The sequence below is a fragment of the Homo sapiens genome, chromosome 15 (genome assembly GCF_000001405.40).
Source record: "Homo sapiens chromosome 15, GRCh38.p14 Primary Assembly".
NCBI classification, from domain to species: Eukaryota; Metazoa; Chordata; class Mammalia; order Primates; family Hominidae; genus Homo; species Homo sapiens.
Window position 1 is genome coordinate 93,095,640 of NC_000015.10, and position 13,965 is coordinate 93,109,604.

At 45.4% G+C, this 13,965-nt stretch overlaps 1 long non-coding RNA gene across 2 annotated transcripts in view, besides 2 other annotated features; it reads left to right on the forward strand.

Annotated features, from left to right (window-relative positions):
- LOC101927025 (uncharacterized) overlaps positions 1-13,965 on the forward strand; it is an 83,190-nt gene that overhangs the window by 6,426 nt on the left and 62,799 nt on the right. For both annotated transcript variants that reach the window (XR_007064769.1, XR_243235.4), the window contains exons 2-3: positions 10,566-10,661; positions 11,734-11,878. This is a non-coding gene — a long non-coding RNA (uncharacterized LOC101927025). The remainder of the gene's footprint in view (positions 1-10,565; positions 10,662-11,733; positions 11,879-13,965) is intronic.
- Positions 9,804-10,513: an enhancer, noted in NCBI's record as "OCT4-NANOG hESC enhancer chr15:93648672-93649381 (GRCh37/hg19 assembly coordinates)". NCBI's record gives its function as "activates a minimal SCP1, AML or CMV promoter by ChIP-STARR-seq in naive H9 embryonic stem cells {active_cell/tissue: H9 hESC(naive)}" and the evidence as "EXISTENCE:reporter gene assay evidence [ECO:0000049][PMID:30033119]".
- Positions 9,921-10,215: a silencer, noted in NCBI's record as "tiled region #8863; HepG2 Repressive non-DNase unmatched - State 22:ReprW". NCBI's record gives its function as "represses a minimal TATA promoter and a strong SV40 promoter by Sharpr-MPRA in HepG2 cells {active_cell/tissue: HepG2}" and the evidence as "EXISTENCE:reporter gene assay evidence [ECO:0000049][PMID:27701403]".

A 13,965-nucleotide genomic window follows, 5' to 3' on the forward strand; every position in this document is an offset into this window, starting at 1 on the left:
ACGTTGGCCAGGCTGGTCTTGAACTCCTGACCTCAGGTGATCTGCCCACCTTGGCCTCCCAAAGTGCTGGGATTACAGGTGTGAGTCACCACATCCGGCCTACCTTTTATTTTTGAAGGTGCTAGTGAGATTGCCTGTTGATTTTAATTTATAAGTAAAATTTATAAATGAGGAATATGTTGCCACCAGAACCCTAAAAGTACTAAGAGATACTGGACTTACACGTCCTTACAAGTGTGTCAAATGAGCCTTCCTGAAGGAGGATCGCCTCAATGTAATGTCATGCCTGTGCTCCCAAGGAAGGTGGATGTCCTTAAGATCCTGTCTTCAGAGACTGTGTGTGATGACAAAGCCCTTGAGGTGCCCTGTGGGTAGACTGGAAAATGTGTGTTGTGCCCTTTTGGAGGTGGAGGCAAACTGCATCCGAGAGGCTGTTGAAATAGGCCCAAAACTGAACATGTTAGCCAAATGTATAAGAGCTCAATATTCACCAGTCATTGACTAGAATTAGTCATAGTATTGGGAATTGGGTATGGAGGCCGTAATGAATAGGAACATGGTGTAAAGGTTGTAGTAATCCACTATGAGGCACCCTTAATTTTTTCTACATTTAAGAACAGGCAAAAATGGCTGTCAAATGGAGGGACAGTGGAGATCATTACCCCTTTATTAATTAGGCTGTATATAGTAAGTTTGAATCCTTAAAGATCCTGATTTAACTTACATTAGGCCTTTGTGAATTGACCATGTTAACTGGAGGTTCATGGGATTTTATTTTATCAAGCCAATTTGTAAGTGCCAAAAACTTACTTTAATTTACAATTATTATTATTATTATTTTTTTGAGACAGGGTCTTACTCTGTCACCCAGGCTGGAGTGCAGTGGCATAATCATGGCTCACTGCAGCCTCAACTTCCTGGGCTCAAGTGATCCTCCCACCTCAGCCTAGGTAGCTGGGACTACAGGAACGCGCCACCGTGCCTGGCTAATTTTTGTATCTTTGGTAGGGATGGAGTTTTGCCATGTTGCCCAGACTGGTCTTGAAATCTTGGGCTCAAGCAATCCTCCCACCTTGGCCTCCCATAGTGCTGGGATTACACGCACGAGCCGTCATGCCGGCTTAATTTATTATTTATTGTATCAGAGCATCTGTGCTTAATATAGACTATATTACAGCAATGGGTGCATGACTATAGGAAATTTAGGCAAGGCTACAGTTAAAATGATGCATATTTATTTTTCTCTATTTTATATTTAGCTATTTTTTAAGATGGTAGAGGCACAGTGTTTAAATTTACTGAGATCTCCAGGTATAACTATGATTTGAGCCCCAGTATTGACTAAGCCCAGGAACTTTTGCCAATTGGTACATTTTAGCAAATGTTAAAGTCAAGTGAGAACCTGTGTTGTAGAAGCGCAAAAGCCAATCCATGCCCTTTGAAATATTTTTGTTAAATTATTTAGTATATAAATTTATATATACAATTTGAATTTCCAATTGGATCAATTGGATCAAATCATAGTAACTTTTTTTTTTTTTTTTTTTTTTGAGATGGAGTCTCGCTCTGTTACCCAGGCTGGAGTGCAGTGGCGTGATCTCGGCTCACTGCAACCTCTGCCTCCTGGGTAAATGCCATTCTCCTGCCTCAGCCTCCCAAGTAGCTGGGACTACAGGCGCCCACCACCACGCCCGGCTAATTTTTGTAATTTTAGTAGAGACGGGGTTTCAACGTGTTAGCCAGGATGGTCTTGATCTCCTGACCTCATGATCTGCCTGCCTCGGCCTCCCAAAGTGCTGGGATTATAGGCGTGAGCCACCTCGCCCGGCCCCCACTTTTTTTTTTTTTTTTTTGAGATGGAGTTTCGCTCTTGTTGCCCATGCTGGAGTGCAGTGGCACGATCTTGGCTCACCGCAACCTCTGCCTCCGGGGTTCAAGTGATTCTCCTGCCTCAGCCTCCTGAGTAGCTGGGATTACAGGCAGGTGCCACCATGCCCGGCTACTTTTGTATTTTTAGTAGAGTCAGTGTTTCTCCATGTTGATCAGGCTGGTCTTGAACTCCCGACCTCAGGTGATCCACCCGCCTCAGCCTCCCAAAGGGCTGGGATTACAGGCATGAGCCACCACGCCCGGCCTCATAGTAACTTGTTTTAATGTAGTTATATGTTATACATATACTATAGAATCTATTTATTATGTGTTCATATTAAAATATTATATATGTGTATATATAATTTATTTAATTACTTTTAACTCCCTTCTCCGTTGTATCTAGGGGAGTTTGTTTTTAAATCAATAAATGGTCTAGAGCTTTCATTATGTTTGCTAGACCTAGCATTGACTTGGTACATACATTTTTTTTTAAGTGGCAGCATTCCCACCCCCCTGCCTTTTGTTTTGTTTTGTTTTGTTTTAGGCTCAGGCCGCCAGAAGCTGAGAGTCTTTGTTTCTGCCTCTAGTTGATGAGAGGATGCAGAGGGCAGGGAGTAAGGGGCTGGTGCTTCTAGGCAGTGGCCTCTCTCTGGGATGCCCCCTTCCTGCATGATGATCAGTTTCTGCCTTGGTCTGTTTTGTGCTGCTATAACAGAAGATCTGAGACTGGTTAGTTTACAAAGAACAGAGATTTATTTCTTATAGTTCTGGAGGCTGGGCAGTCCAAGACTGAGGGCCTGCATCTGGTCAGGGCCTTCTTGCTGTGTCATAATATGGCAGAAGGCATCACATGGTGAGAGGGTGTGTGAGTGTGGGGAAGGAGGCTGAACTCCTTTTGTAGGGAACCCACCTCCACAATAACAAGTCCATTCCCACGACAATGGCATTAATTCATTTATGAGGGCAGAGCCCACAAGGCTCAATCATGTCTTTAAGGTCCCACCTCCCAGCACTGTTGCATTGGGGATTGAGTTTCCAACACATGAACTTTGGGGGACACATTCAAACCACAGCAGTCCCTTTCCTTTTTTTCATTAAGCAAAATCTTTAGAATGGCTTATATTTTTAGGCAGCTAAAAAAAAAATTTTTTTTTCCTTTGTTTTTAGATGTTGACCTGATGCGCTCCTGCTGGTCCTAACTGGCCCTCATGGTGAGCAGTGGCCTCCATTTGTGTTTCTCATCAGGATCATTTGTAGGCAGCCACCTCCCTCTTAGGGTGTCCCGGTTGACCTCATTAGGGTCAGGGGGCAATGAAGAGTGACAGAAGCAAGGGAACGAAGCAATATAGGGCTTGCAGACACCGGCAGAACTGCTGCCAGTGACTGCCATCACCTACATGAAGGGGGACACTTTGTTGTCAGTCTGGGAAGTCTTTGTTGTCAGTCTGGGAAGCCTAGTGACCTCTCTAGATACTGCCTCCCCATCTCAGTGGGTAGTCAGAGTGTGGGCCTCCCTTTTGCACCCTGCTAGGCCTTTGTGCTGGCCCAGTGTCCACCTGACAGCTCCAGGGCAGAGGTGACCCCCTTCTGCTTCTCAGTAACAAGCCATCAGGCCTTCTGAATATAGTCAATAGAACCCTCACCAGAACTTCCCACTCAGGGGAGTGTCCTATTAAGGCTGGCAGTTGAGCATGGGGTCCATTGGCAGAGGGGGGCATCCCAAGAACCACTTGGAATTTCTAGGACGCACCCAACTTAGGGAGGGGAGTCTTGGCAACACTCAACAAAGACCACAGGCTGCAGCATACAGCAGTGGGGACCCACACTAGTGAGCCCTGGGGCCTCCTCAGATGGGGTCAGCCACATGGCTAGTGAGCAGGAGCAGGCAAAAGGCATTCTGTCCTGCCCTTTGTGGTCATGGCCACACACCCTGCTCACAGTGCCAGTTGTTGTGATTTTTTTTTTTCTGAGACGGAGTCTCGCTCTGTTGCCAGGCTGAAGTGCAGTGGCGTGATCTCGGCTTACTGCAACCTCCGCCTCCCGGGTTCAAACGATTCTCCTGCCTCAGCCTCCCGAGTAGTGGGATTACTATGCGTGTGCCACGCCCAGCTAATTTTTGTAATTTTAGTAGAGACTGGGTTTCACCATGTTGGCCAGGATGGTCTCGATCTCCTGACCTCATGATCTGCCCGCCTCAGCCTCCCAAAGTGCTGGGATTATAGGCGTGAGCCCCCGGTCCCGGCATGTGATTTTTGTTGTAATGGTTTCTTTCTAATTTGGTCTATTTAGAGTGGCCAAAAGCCAAGATAGCCACTCTAGGAAAGCCCTGGCAGGGGAAAGTTGGGTGCAGGTGTATCATTCAGGTGAGACACAATGAGGAGGTGACACCCACATGCATGAAGCAGAAGAAAAACAGCTCCTGGAGAGGTTAGGGGTGCCCATGGGAGGCCCAGGGGAAGTCTGGAGGTGACAGGGAGCTCAACTAGCTGGTGAGGGGCAGGAGGAAAGAGAGAGGATCCATGGGACCAGGCCTTTATTTAGGTCCATGGGTGTTATTCCCTAGGCTTTCCCTATGGGGTTGTGGATTGGTGAGTTTAAAGAAAACGTGGCCGGGCATGGTGGCTCATGCCTGTAATCCCAGCACTTTGGGAGGCTGAGGTGAGTGGATCATGAGGTCAGGAGATCAAGACCATTCTGGCCAACATGGTGAAACCCTCTCTACTAAAAATACAAAAATTAGCTGGGCGTGGTGGTGCGTGCCTGTAGTCCCAGCTACTTGGGAGGCAGAGGCAGGAGAATTGCTTGAACCCGGAGGGCAGAGTTTGCAGTGAGCCGAGATTGAGCCACTGCACTCCAGCCTGGGCAACAAGAGCGAAACTCCATCTCAAAAAGAAAAAAGAAAACATGCTCTGAGGGGAGATCTTATTTACATGACTCTGGTATTGATCAATAGGTTTTATCCTGATCAGCAGCTGTGGGGGGAGCTGGGTTCTGTGTCAGTGAGATGAGGAGCAATAAGGCCATGTCGCACACAACCACATAGGGAGGGGAAGTTTTAACTCACCCAAAGGTGACGGGGTACAACTGAGTTTCCAACAATTTACATTGGGCCTAAAAGTGGGTGGCGAGGCAGCAACTGTATTAAACAAATTGATAACATAGGACCATCTTACGGAGCACCTTGGCTGCCGAGTGAGCAATAGGGAGCCACTGAAGGTTATGGAGCAGAGGAATAATGTAAGTGGAGCTGCACTTTAGGGAGGTCTAATGGAAAATGATTTAGAGAAACAGAAGGCAGAAGACTAGCTAGAAGATTCTACTCATCTTTTTTTTTTTTTTTTTTTTTTTTTTTTTTTTTTTTTTTTTTTGAGATGGGGTCTTTCTCTGTCACCTAGGCCAGAATGCAGTGGTGTGATCACGGCTTACTGTAGCCTTGACCTCCTAGGCTCAGGTGATCCTCCCACCTCAGCCTCCTGAGTAGCTGAGACTACAGGTGTGTGCCACTATGCCTGGCTAATCTTTCTAGAGATAGGGTTTTGCAGTGTTGCCCAGGCTGGTCTCAAACTCCTGAGCTCAAGCAATCCACCCATCTTGGCCTCCCAAAGTGCTGGATTACAGGCATAAGACCCCAAGCTTGGAAGATTCTACTAATCTTCCAATTCTATTAATCTCGGCTCACTGCAACCTCTGCCTCCCGGGTTCAAGCGATTCTCCTGCCTCAGCCTCCCAAGTAGCTGGGATTACAGGCACATGCCACCATACCTGGCTAATTTTTGTATTTTTAGTAGAGATGGGGTTTCTCCATGTTGGCCAGGCTGGTCTCAAACTCCTGACCTCAGATGATCCACTCACCTCGGCCTCCCAAAGGCTGGGATTACAGGCATGAGCAACTGTGCCTGGCCAGATTCTACTAATCTTGATACACTGTTATTGAGAGCATGAGAGGGTGCTAAGAGGACAGGGGAAGTACAGGGCTGCTGGAAGTCTCAAATGGTTTGCAGAAGCTGGGCGCGGTGGCTCACGCCTGTAATCCCAGCACTTTGGGAGGCTGAGGCAGGTGGATTATGAGGTCAGGAGATCGAGACCATCCTGGCTAACACGGTGAAACCCTGTCTCTATTAAAAATACAAACAACTAACTGGGCGTGATGGCAAGTGCCTGTGGTCCCAGCTACTCAGGAGGCTGAGGCAGGAGATTCGCTTGAACTCGGGAGGTGGAGGTTGCAGTGAGCCAAGATCACACCACTGCACTCTAGCCTGGGCGACAGAGCGAGATAACGTCTCAAAAAAAAAAAAAACGCTTTTCAGAAGTGGGAAATGGAAGAGTATCAGAGTGGCAGAGGTGGTAAGTGGCAATGGTAACATCACAAGGAAAAGCTTAAAAGGGTTTGGGGTGGATGATGATCAGACCAACCATGGGATTGGACCCACCATCATGGCTTCAGCATGAGAGGGAGCCGCAAAATTATACCCAGTCAATCACCTGATTTTCCATATTTGATAGTATGTGCATGCATTTCAGCCAAAAACCCAGTGCTTGGGCCCATGAAAAGAAAAGAAAACTTAGTTAATTCATTATGTTTCTCTTTAGCCTTTTCTCCCACAGGCCAGTCATTTGCTATGTCGTGGTAAGGACCATAATCAAGGCAAAAAAAAAAAAAAAAAGATTTTGTTGTTGTTGTTGTTATTCAGTAAACTATCAGCCACAGGAATAGAAAGCAAACACATTTTTCATGGTTGTTTCATGAATTTGGACGAGAGAAAAGGGTGACCAGAAAGCGGACTTTTCCGTGAGGCTTTGACTGTGTGATTTGCTGACTGGTTTATACATGAACATAGTTGCAGGGTTTGGGTAACCACAGTGGCAGGAGAACAGCTGGGATGTGGTCAGCGAGCACATCTCCCAGCCCCATAACAGCACCCACAGAAGCCTGTCCTTGACAACTGAGAGACCTTGGGGCCAGCCGGCTCACGTGCTCCCTTCATGGTGGCTTGGCAGGGAGGGCAAGGCTTACCAACTTCTTTATATCAAGGCTGGATCAGTTTGGAATTTGTTTTGCTATTATTGACTGCGCTCCTTCCCTGCAAACTCTTTCTATATATATCGTAGACTCTGTCTCAGTCCTCATGACCACTGTATGAGGTGGGTAGGAGTATTCCCATTTTCTAGGAAACTGAGGTTCCAAAAGCTAAGTGAATGGATGAACAAGTGGTAGGGTCAGGATTAGAATCCATGTCCACCTGAATCCAAAACCAGTGCATTTTCCACTAGGCATGTGGCTCATTTTCCTTACTGTCTCCTCACCTCTCCTGCTAGGCTTGATGGAGAAACACTATGGGGAGCAAGCTTGTACCCCACTTTCTGCAGCACTGCCAAAGCTAGTGGAGTATGAATGTGGTACTGTCACCTCCAGTCAATGCACCCACTGTCCATAGACAAGCTCTGCCGGTGCATTGTTCTTCTGGTGGGCTCTGCCCACCTTGTGAATCACCGGGAAGCTCAGGGAGACAGTGGATTTCCTAGAGCACTCAGATGAGATTCCAGGAAGTGACTATGTCATACCTGCTGCCAGGGATCTTAGGGTGGTCACCAAAGTTCGAGCCCTTTGGAAGAGATCTCACTGGCTGATATAAATAAATTCTCATAACTCATGCATGGAGGTCTTGTTGTTGAGTTTCCAACCAACAACAGGTTTTAAAGGTTCTCCTAAGAGAGTACCCAGGCATTGAGTCTATTCTACAGATTAGACAAATTCAGCCATGAATGTGGGAATGGGGATACTCAAGGATCTACCCAATGTCTGGAGGATTTGCTTGAGAAGCTCAATTATTTTTTAACAAAAGTGGCCACTAGTATTTTTAAATATGCAGATCATGTTGAGGTTATATATCAGTTAGGGTAAAGCTGGACTGCTACAACAAAGAGACCCAATAATAACCTGACTAAAGTTTATGTATTTCTCATATAACAGTCCAGTAATTTCAATTGCAACAGTCCAGGGTGAGCTTTTGAGACTGGTGGGAGATTCAGCTCCATGTGGTCATTCAGGGATTCATGTTCCTTATTAGTCATTGTTCCACAATAATCCACAATTATTGTGATCTGCATAATTTAAGCTGTGTTACTGCCAAGCCTGGGCTGTAGCCTGTAGGAAAGGTAAAGGGTGTGGAGGAAACAGGGCTCTTCTTGCATCCTTACTTCCTCTCCTGTTAAGTCATATGTGCCCATCTAGCTGAAAGGGAGGCTGGGAAATTAATGCACTTGGGCAGCCATTGTTTTACTGTTAGGAAACAAGGGAGCTTAGATTTTGTGGACAACTAGCAATATTTGGTAGACAACTAGAAGCTGGGTGCATCTCATTGATCTAGCATGGCATAGAAGAGGAAGTGCTGGCTCTGGACCCTGAAGACGTGGGTTCGAATCCTTGCTCTGTCATTTTAAACTGGATAAGCTGCCTCATCTCTCTGACCATGGCTTGCTTCAACTGCTGTGCCTTCCTTAAATAGCAATTGGGAGGATTGTAACACAACAGGTGCTTGATACCTTAGTCATGGTTGCAAGAAATGAAAACCAGCTTGAGTTAGCTTGAGAAAAGGGAGATTTAATTTGAGGTCCAGGTCATCTCAGAGAACCCAAAGGCAGGAATTATAGATGGATCTTTGTAGGGAAGAACTGGAATTTGAAGGCAAAAGGAGGAAAGAGGAGGGAATTTGAGGAGCCCTCAATCCATTAGCAAAAACAGCTGGTACTAACTCCAAATTAAATCCTGACTGCATCTGTTTCTCTCCTGTACCTCCTTCCCTGGTCCAGGTGACCTTTGAGCCTTCTCTGGACTGATGACTGACCGTTCCCTCTGCCTTCATTCTTATGCTCTCAAATCCATCCTTTCACACAAGAGCAAGAGTGAAATTTAGAAACATTAATGAGATATGTCTCCTGTTTGAGACCTGTAGTGTCTTCCTGCAGCAATGCAGAATAAAACCCCAGCTCCTTACCCTGGTTTACCAAGCCCCATGCAATGTGACCTCCCCTCCCTGACTGCATCTGCCACTCTTCCCCTCTTCCACTTTGCTTTAGCCACGTGGTCCAGCTGTATATAAACATATCATTTAAATCTTTCTCCTGCCTCAGGACCTTGGACGACTATTTTCCCTTCCTGGAGAAATCTCGACACTTTGTGCTTTTAGTAATCCACACTTCAGTATAAAATCTTAGAGTGACCTCTATCACGTCAGCCTACTTTAATTCTCTACACAGCCATTAACACAATTTTATAGTTTTCTCACTAATATACTTATTTGTTGTTACCCAATTCCCAGACCCCATCGCCCCAATAAATGCAATCTTTATAAAAGCAGGGAACTGCCTATCTTGATCTCTGATGTATCCTGTTTGCTTAGGAATACTTTTTGAATGAACGGAGTTAATTTAAAAAAATATATGTAACTTTACTGCTTGTAACCCTTTCAAAATTTAACTCTGTATTTTGAACTTCTTTCCACTTCAACGAATACACAATTACTATATGCTCACAGTATTCCATTACTTAGATACCATAACCAATGTAAACAACTTCCTGCTGTTGAATATTTAGTGAATATCCTTATATAGAGACGTCTTTGCACATTCTTCATTATTTCCTAGAATACATTTATACATGTGAAATAATTGATTTAAAGGATAGTCTACTTCTAAGATTTGATATATAAAGCAAAACTGACTTCTAGGGAAACTGCGATTGTTTTTATGTCCTCTGACGGGGCATGAGAGTGCCAGGTTCCCCAGGCCCTCGGAGAAGGACTATTATCATTTTTTATTTTGCCAATCGGATGCACTAAAAATGTCATCTTGTTGTATCAATTCATGTTTTAAAAAATTACCAATGGTGTTGAACATTTTTCTTCTACTTATTGTATTTAATTCTTTTGTTCCTCTCCTTGACTCTTTTTTTAAAATAAGCGCATCATCTTCGCGCGTTATTCTTGGTTATGGGTTTCCTCTTTCATCCTCAGAGACTCACATTTAGGTGGGAGAACATTTGCAAGAATGAGGGAAATTGATTCTTGCCATGCACTCTAAGCTCCCAAGAGGCCCTCTCCTTCCTCACCATTAGAATACAAATTGGCTGCTGGGGAGTGAGGAACCTGTGTGAAGAGAAGTCAACAGTGACTAAGAGGCCGGGCTTTATACAATCCCAGTCACTGGTGCACCCCTCTCAAAGGCTTCCAAACCCTTACAAATTGCTTCTGAATATCAATGGGAATCTCCTGCTTGGCAAACAACTTAGGCATCAGCACCTTTATCAGAATGAAAGTGTTGATTTCTCCATTCTGCAGAACTGCTCAGAGCTGACCAAAGCCAACCAATTACATGGGTATTTATTGAGCACCCAAAGCATTGTAGACTAGTTGGGGAGATGCCTTCCTGGGTCTTTGAAGGACATCTGGAGTGATTTAGGCCTCATCATAAGATATAAGCAAAAGCATTTCCTTCTACAGTTAACACTGGAGCAGGCCACATCACAGGGCCAGCCAAGCTTTGGGCCAAACCTCTATCATCACCAAGATAGAATCAACAGCTTCGGACTTAGACTGAGTATGGAAATCCATATTTAGGAGGTGGTTAACAATGGTCAAATAGCGAAAACAATATTTTTGTTGTTAGTCTTTAATTTTTCTGCTCTTGTTTTTCAGGAAGGTGTGACTTGCAGAGGAGTTGATTCCTTCTTATGTACATTTACTGGAGAAGTTTACAGCAGGAGACTGGGGTCTGAGACACACGCATCTTTGGTGAGAGAAGATGGGGATGCAAGCTAGGTCCCCGTATACGGCTATGGGAGGGGACTGGTACCCCCACTCCAGTGCTCTTAAACAGTGATCGGCTTTCCAGGAAGCTCTACATTGTCAATGAAAGGGCTGTTCTTTACACTTTACTCTGAGGGTTTTTTTTTGTGTGTGCATACGTACACAAGCATGCATAGTCACGAGCAAGCACGACTGTGTGCATGAGTTCAAGTATTCTTTCTGAAAAGAAATGATGAGGCCGGGCGCGGTGGCTCACACCTGTAATCCCAGCACTTTGGGAGGCTGAGGCGTGCGGATCACGAGGTCAGGAGATCCAGAGCATCCTGGCTAACAGGTGAAACCCCATCTCTACTAAAAATACAAAAAATTATCTGGGCGTGGTGGTGGGTGCCTGTAGTCCCAGCTACTCGGGAGGCTGAGGCAGGAGAATGGCATGAACCCAGGAGGCAGAGCTTGCAGTGAGCGGAGATCGTGCCACTGCACTCCAGCCTGGGCGACAGAGCGAGACTCCGTCTCAAAAAAGAAAAAAGAAAGAAAGAAAGAAAGAAAGAAATGATGGTGATAGTAGAAAGTTGTTGTTGTAAAAATATCCTTTTTTTTTTTTTTTTTTTTTTTTGGAGAAAGAGTCTCACACTGTGTCACCCAGGCTGGAATGCGGTGGCACAATCTTGGCTCACCTCAACCTTTGCCTCCCAGATACAAGCGATTCTTCTTCCTCAGCCTCCCAAGTAGCTGGGATTACAGGCACCCACCACCACGCCTAGCTAATTTTTTTGTATGTTTAGAAGAGACAGGGTTTCACCACGTTGGCCAGGCTGGTCTCAAACTCCTGATTTCAAGTGATCTCCCCATCACAGCCTCCCAAAGTGCTGGGATTTCAGGCGTGAGCCACTGTGTCCAGCTAAAAATATCCTTTCCTGGTAAAGTAAAAAGCTTCCAAATGCATGTTTGTCTTTCCAGTTTTTTCCCTGTTATCTGTGAAATCATCCGATCATTAGATCTACTGCTTTTCATGTAACTGTGATGTCCTGTTTTAATGGAAAATTGACTTTTGCAGTGTGCCCCAAAGAATAAAGCCCTCAAAGGATGTGAAGCCTGAACTCACTTCAAATGCTGGAAAGGCCCTTTCCTTAGCTGAGCTGTGGAGGAACCAGGACTCCTGTGGCACTGCCCTAACGAGGAGGCAGTGCTGCCAGATTCAGGTGGGTGTCCCCTCGGGTGGGGCTGGCTGGACTGTGGACAGGAGGCACCATTCAGCCCACAGGAGAAGCTGCCTTGGTGCAGGGGAGGGTCCTGTGATCCAGGGGCCTGAGCAGGTTTGGAGGGAAAGCTGAAGAGGAAAAGTAAGGATGTAAACAAATTAAAAAGCAAAAAACAACCCCATTAAAAAGGAGGCAAAGGACATGAACAGACACTTCTCAGAAGACATCCAGGTAGCCAACAAACATATGAAAAAATGCTCATCTCTAATCTTCAGAGAAATGCAAATCAAAACCACAATGAGATACCATCTTATGCCAGTCTGATTGGCTTTTGCTAAAAAGCCAAAAAATAACAGATGTTGTCAAGGCTGTGGAGAGAACGGGACATTGATACACTGTTGGTGGGAGTGTAAATGAGTGTAGCCTTTGTGGAGAGCAGTTTGGAGATTTCTCAAAGAACTGAGTTGAGCTGCCATTCAACCCAGCAATCCCATTATGGGGTATAGATCCACAGGTAAATAAATCGTTCTACCAAATGAACGCATGCACCTGTATGTTCACTGTAGTGCTCCTCACAATTGCAAAAGCATGGAATCAACATAGGTGCCCATCAATGGTGGATTAGATAAAGACAATGTGGTACATATACACCATGGAATACAGTAGTCATAAAAAGACAAAATCATGGGCCAGATGTGGTGGCTTGTGCCTGTAATCCCAGCACTTTGGGAGGCCGAGGTGGGCAGATCACCTGAGGTCAGGAGTTCAAGACCAGCCTGACCAACATGGTGAAACCCCGTCTCTACTAAAAATTCAAAATTAGCTGGGCGTGGTGGCAGGCGCCTGTAATCCCAGCTCCTCGGGAGGCTGAGGCAGGAGAATCGCTTGAACCAGGGAGGCAGAGGTTGCCGTGAGCTGAGATTGAGCCATTGCACTCTAGCCTGGGCGACAGAGTGAGACTCCGTCTCAAAAAACACCAAAAACCGAAAAACAAAATCATGTCCCTTGCAGCAACATGGATGCAGCTGGAGGCCATTATCCTAAGCAAACTAACACAGGAACAGAAAACCAAATACCACACGTTCTCAGTTATAAATGGGAGCTAAATATTGGGTACACAAGGACAGAAAGTTGGGACCAAAAGACACTGTAGACTACTAGATAGGGAAGGGACGGAGGGAGGCAAGGGTTGAAAAACTACCTATTGGGTACTATAGGAACCTGGGTGATGGGATCATTCATACCCCAAACCTCAGCATCACACAAAATATCTCTGTAACGAACCTGCACATGTAACTTCTGATTCTAAAATATAAGTTCAAAAAGAAAAAAAAATACCCCCGCAACTACCGGTTCACCCCCTCTTCCTCCCTCCTTCCTGGCTTCCTCCGATTATATTCATTTTAAAAATCAGTGGGTCTCCAGGGAAATTATTCAAGGGGCCAATGTATGCCGCCAAAGTTAAATAATCAGAGTCTAGACATTGGTTTTTTAATTTAGGGAACTCAAAAATAAAGCAAAAAGATAAATACAAGTAAAAAGAAGTTTCACTATGTTCCCTGGGGTTAAAAAAAATGCATGGTAGGGAGCTCTGGGAACCCTGAACTGAAAAACATACAGAATCAATTAAATGGATGCAGAGCGATGGCGGGTGATGGCTCCCCGTTGTCTCTTCCCTGTGTCATCATTCTCGCTAATTCTCAGGGCTGGAGACTCTAGAGGTATTATCAGGAGATAAGAGGCCAGTCTCATATTCCTGGGAGAAAAATCCCCGCCGATTTGCAGTAAGATCTTGGATTTGACCTATGACTTTTATGTCACAAAGGATCAGCGATTGCAATTCGGGTAATAGAAGAGGCCAAGTCAGCTTTCTCTTTTTCCTGCCTCCCGTCCTCCCTCCCCGCCTCCAAAGGACAACCTCAATTTGTTTGGAATTATATTTAAGCAGCAACCTGATGAAATACCTACCAGAGGCAAGGGTGGCATCCGCATTCCTTGTGTTATCTGGTCGGACGCCCCCGCAGGCCGTCTAACTTATTCAAAGGCGCGGCTGAGCGTTTGCAGCGCGGTCTGCAGTGAGATTCCAG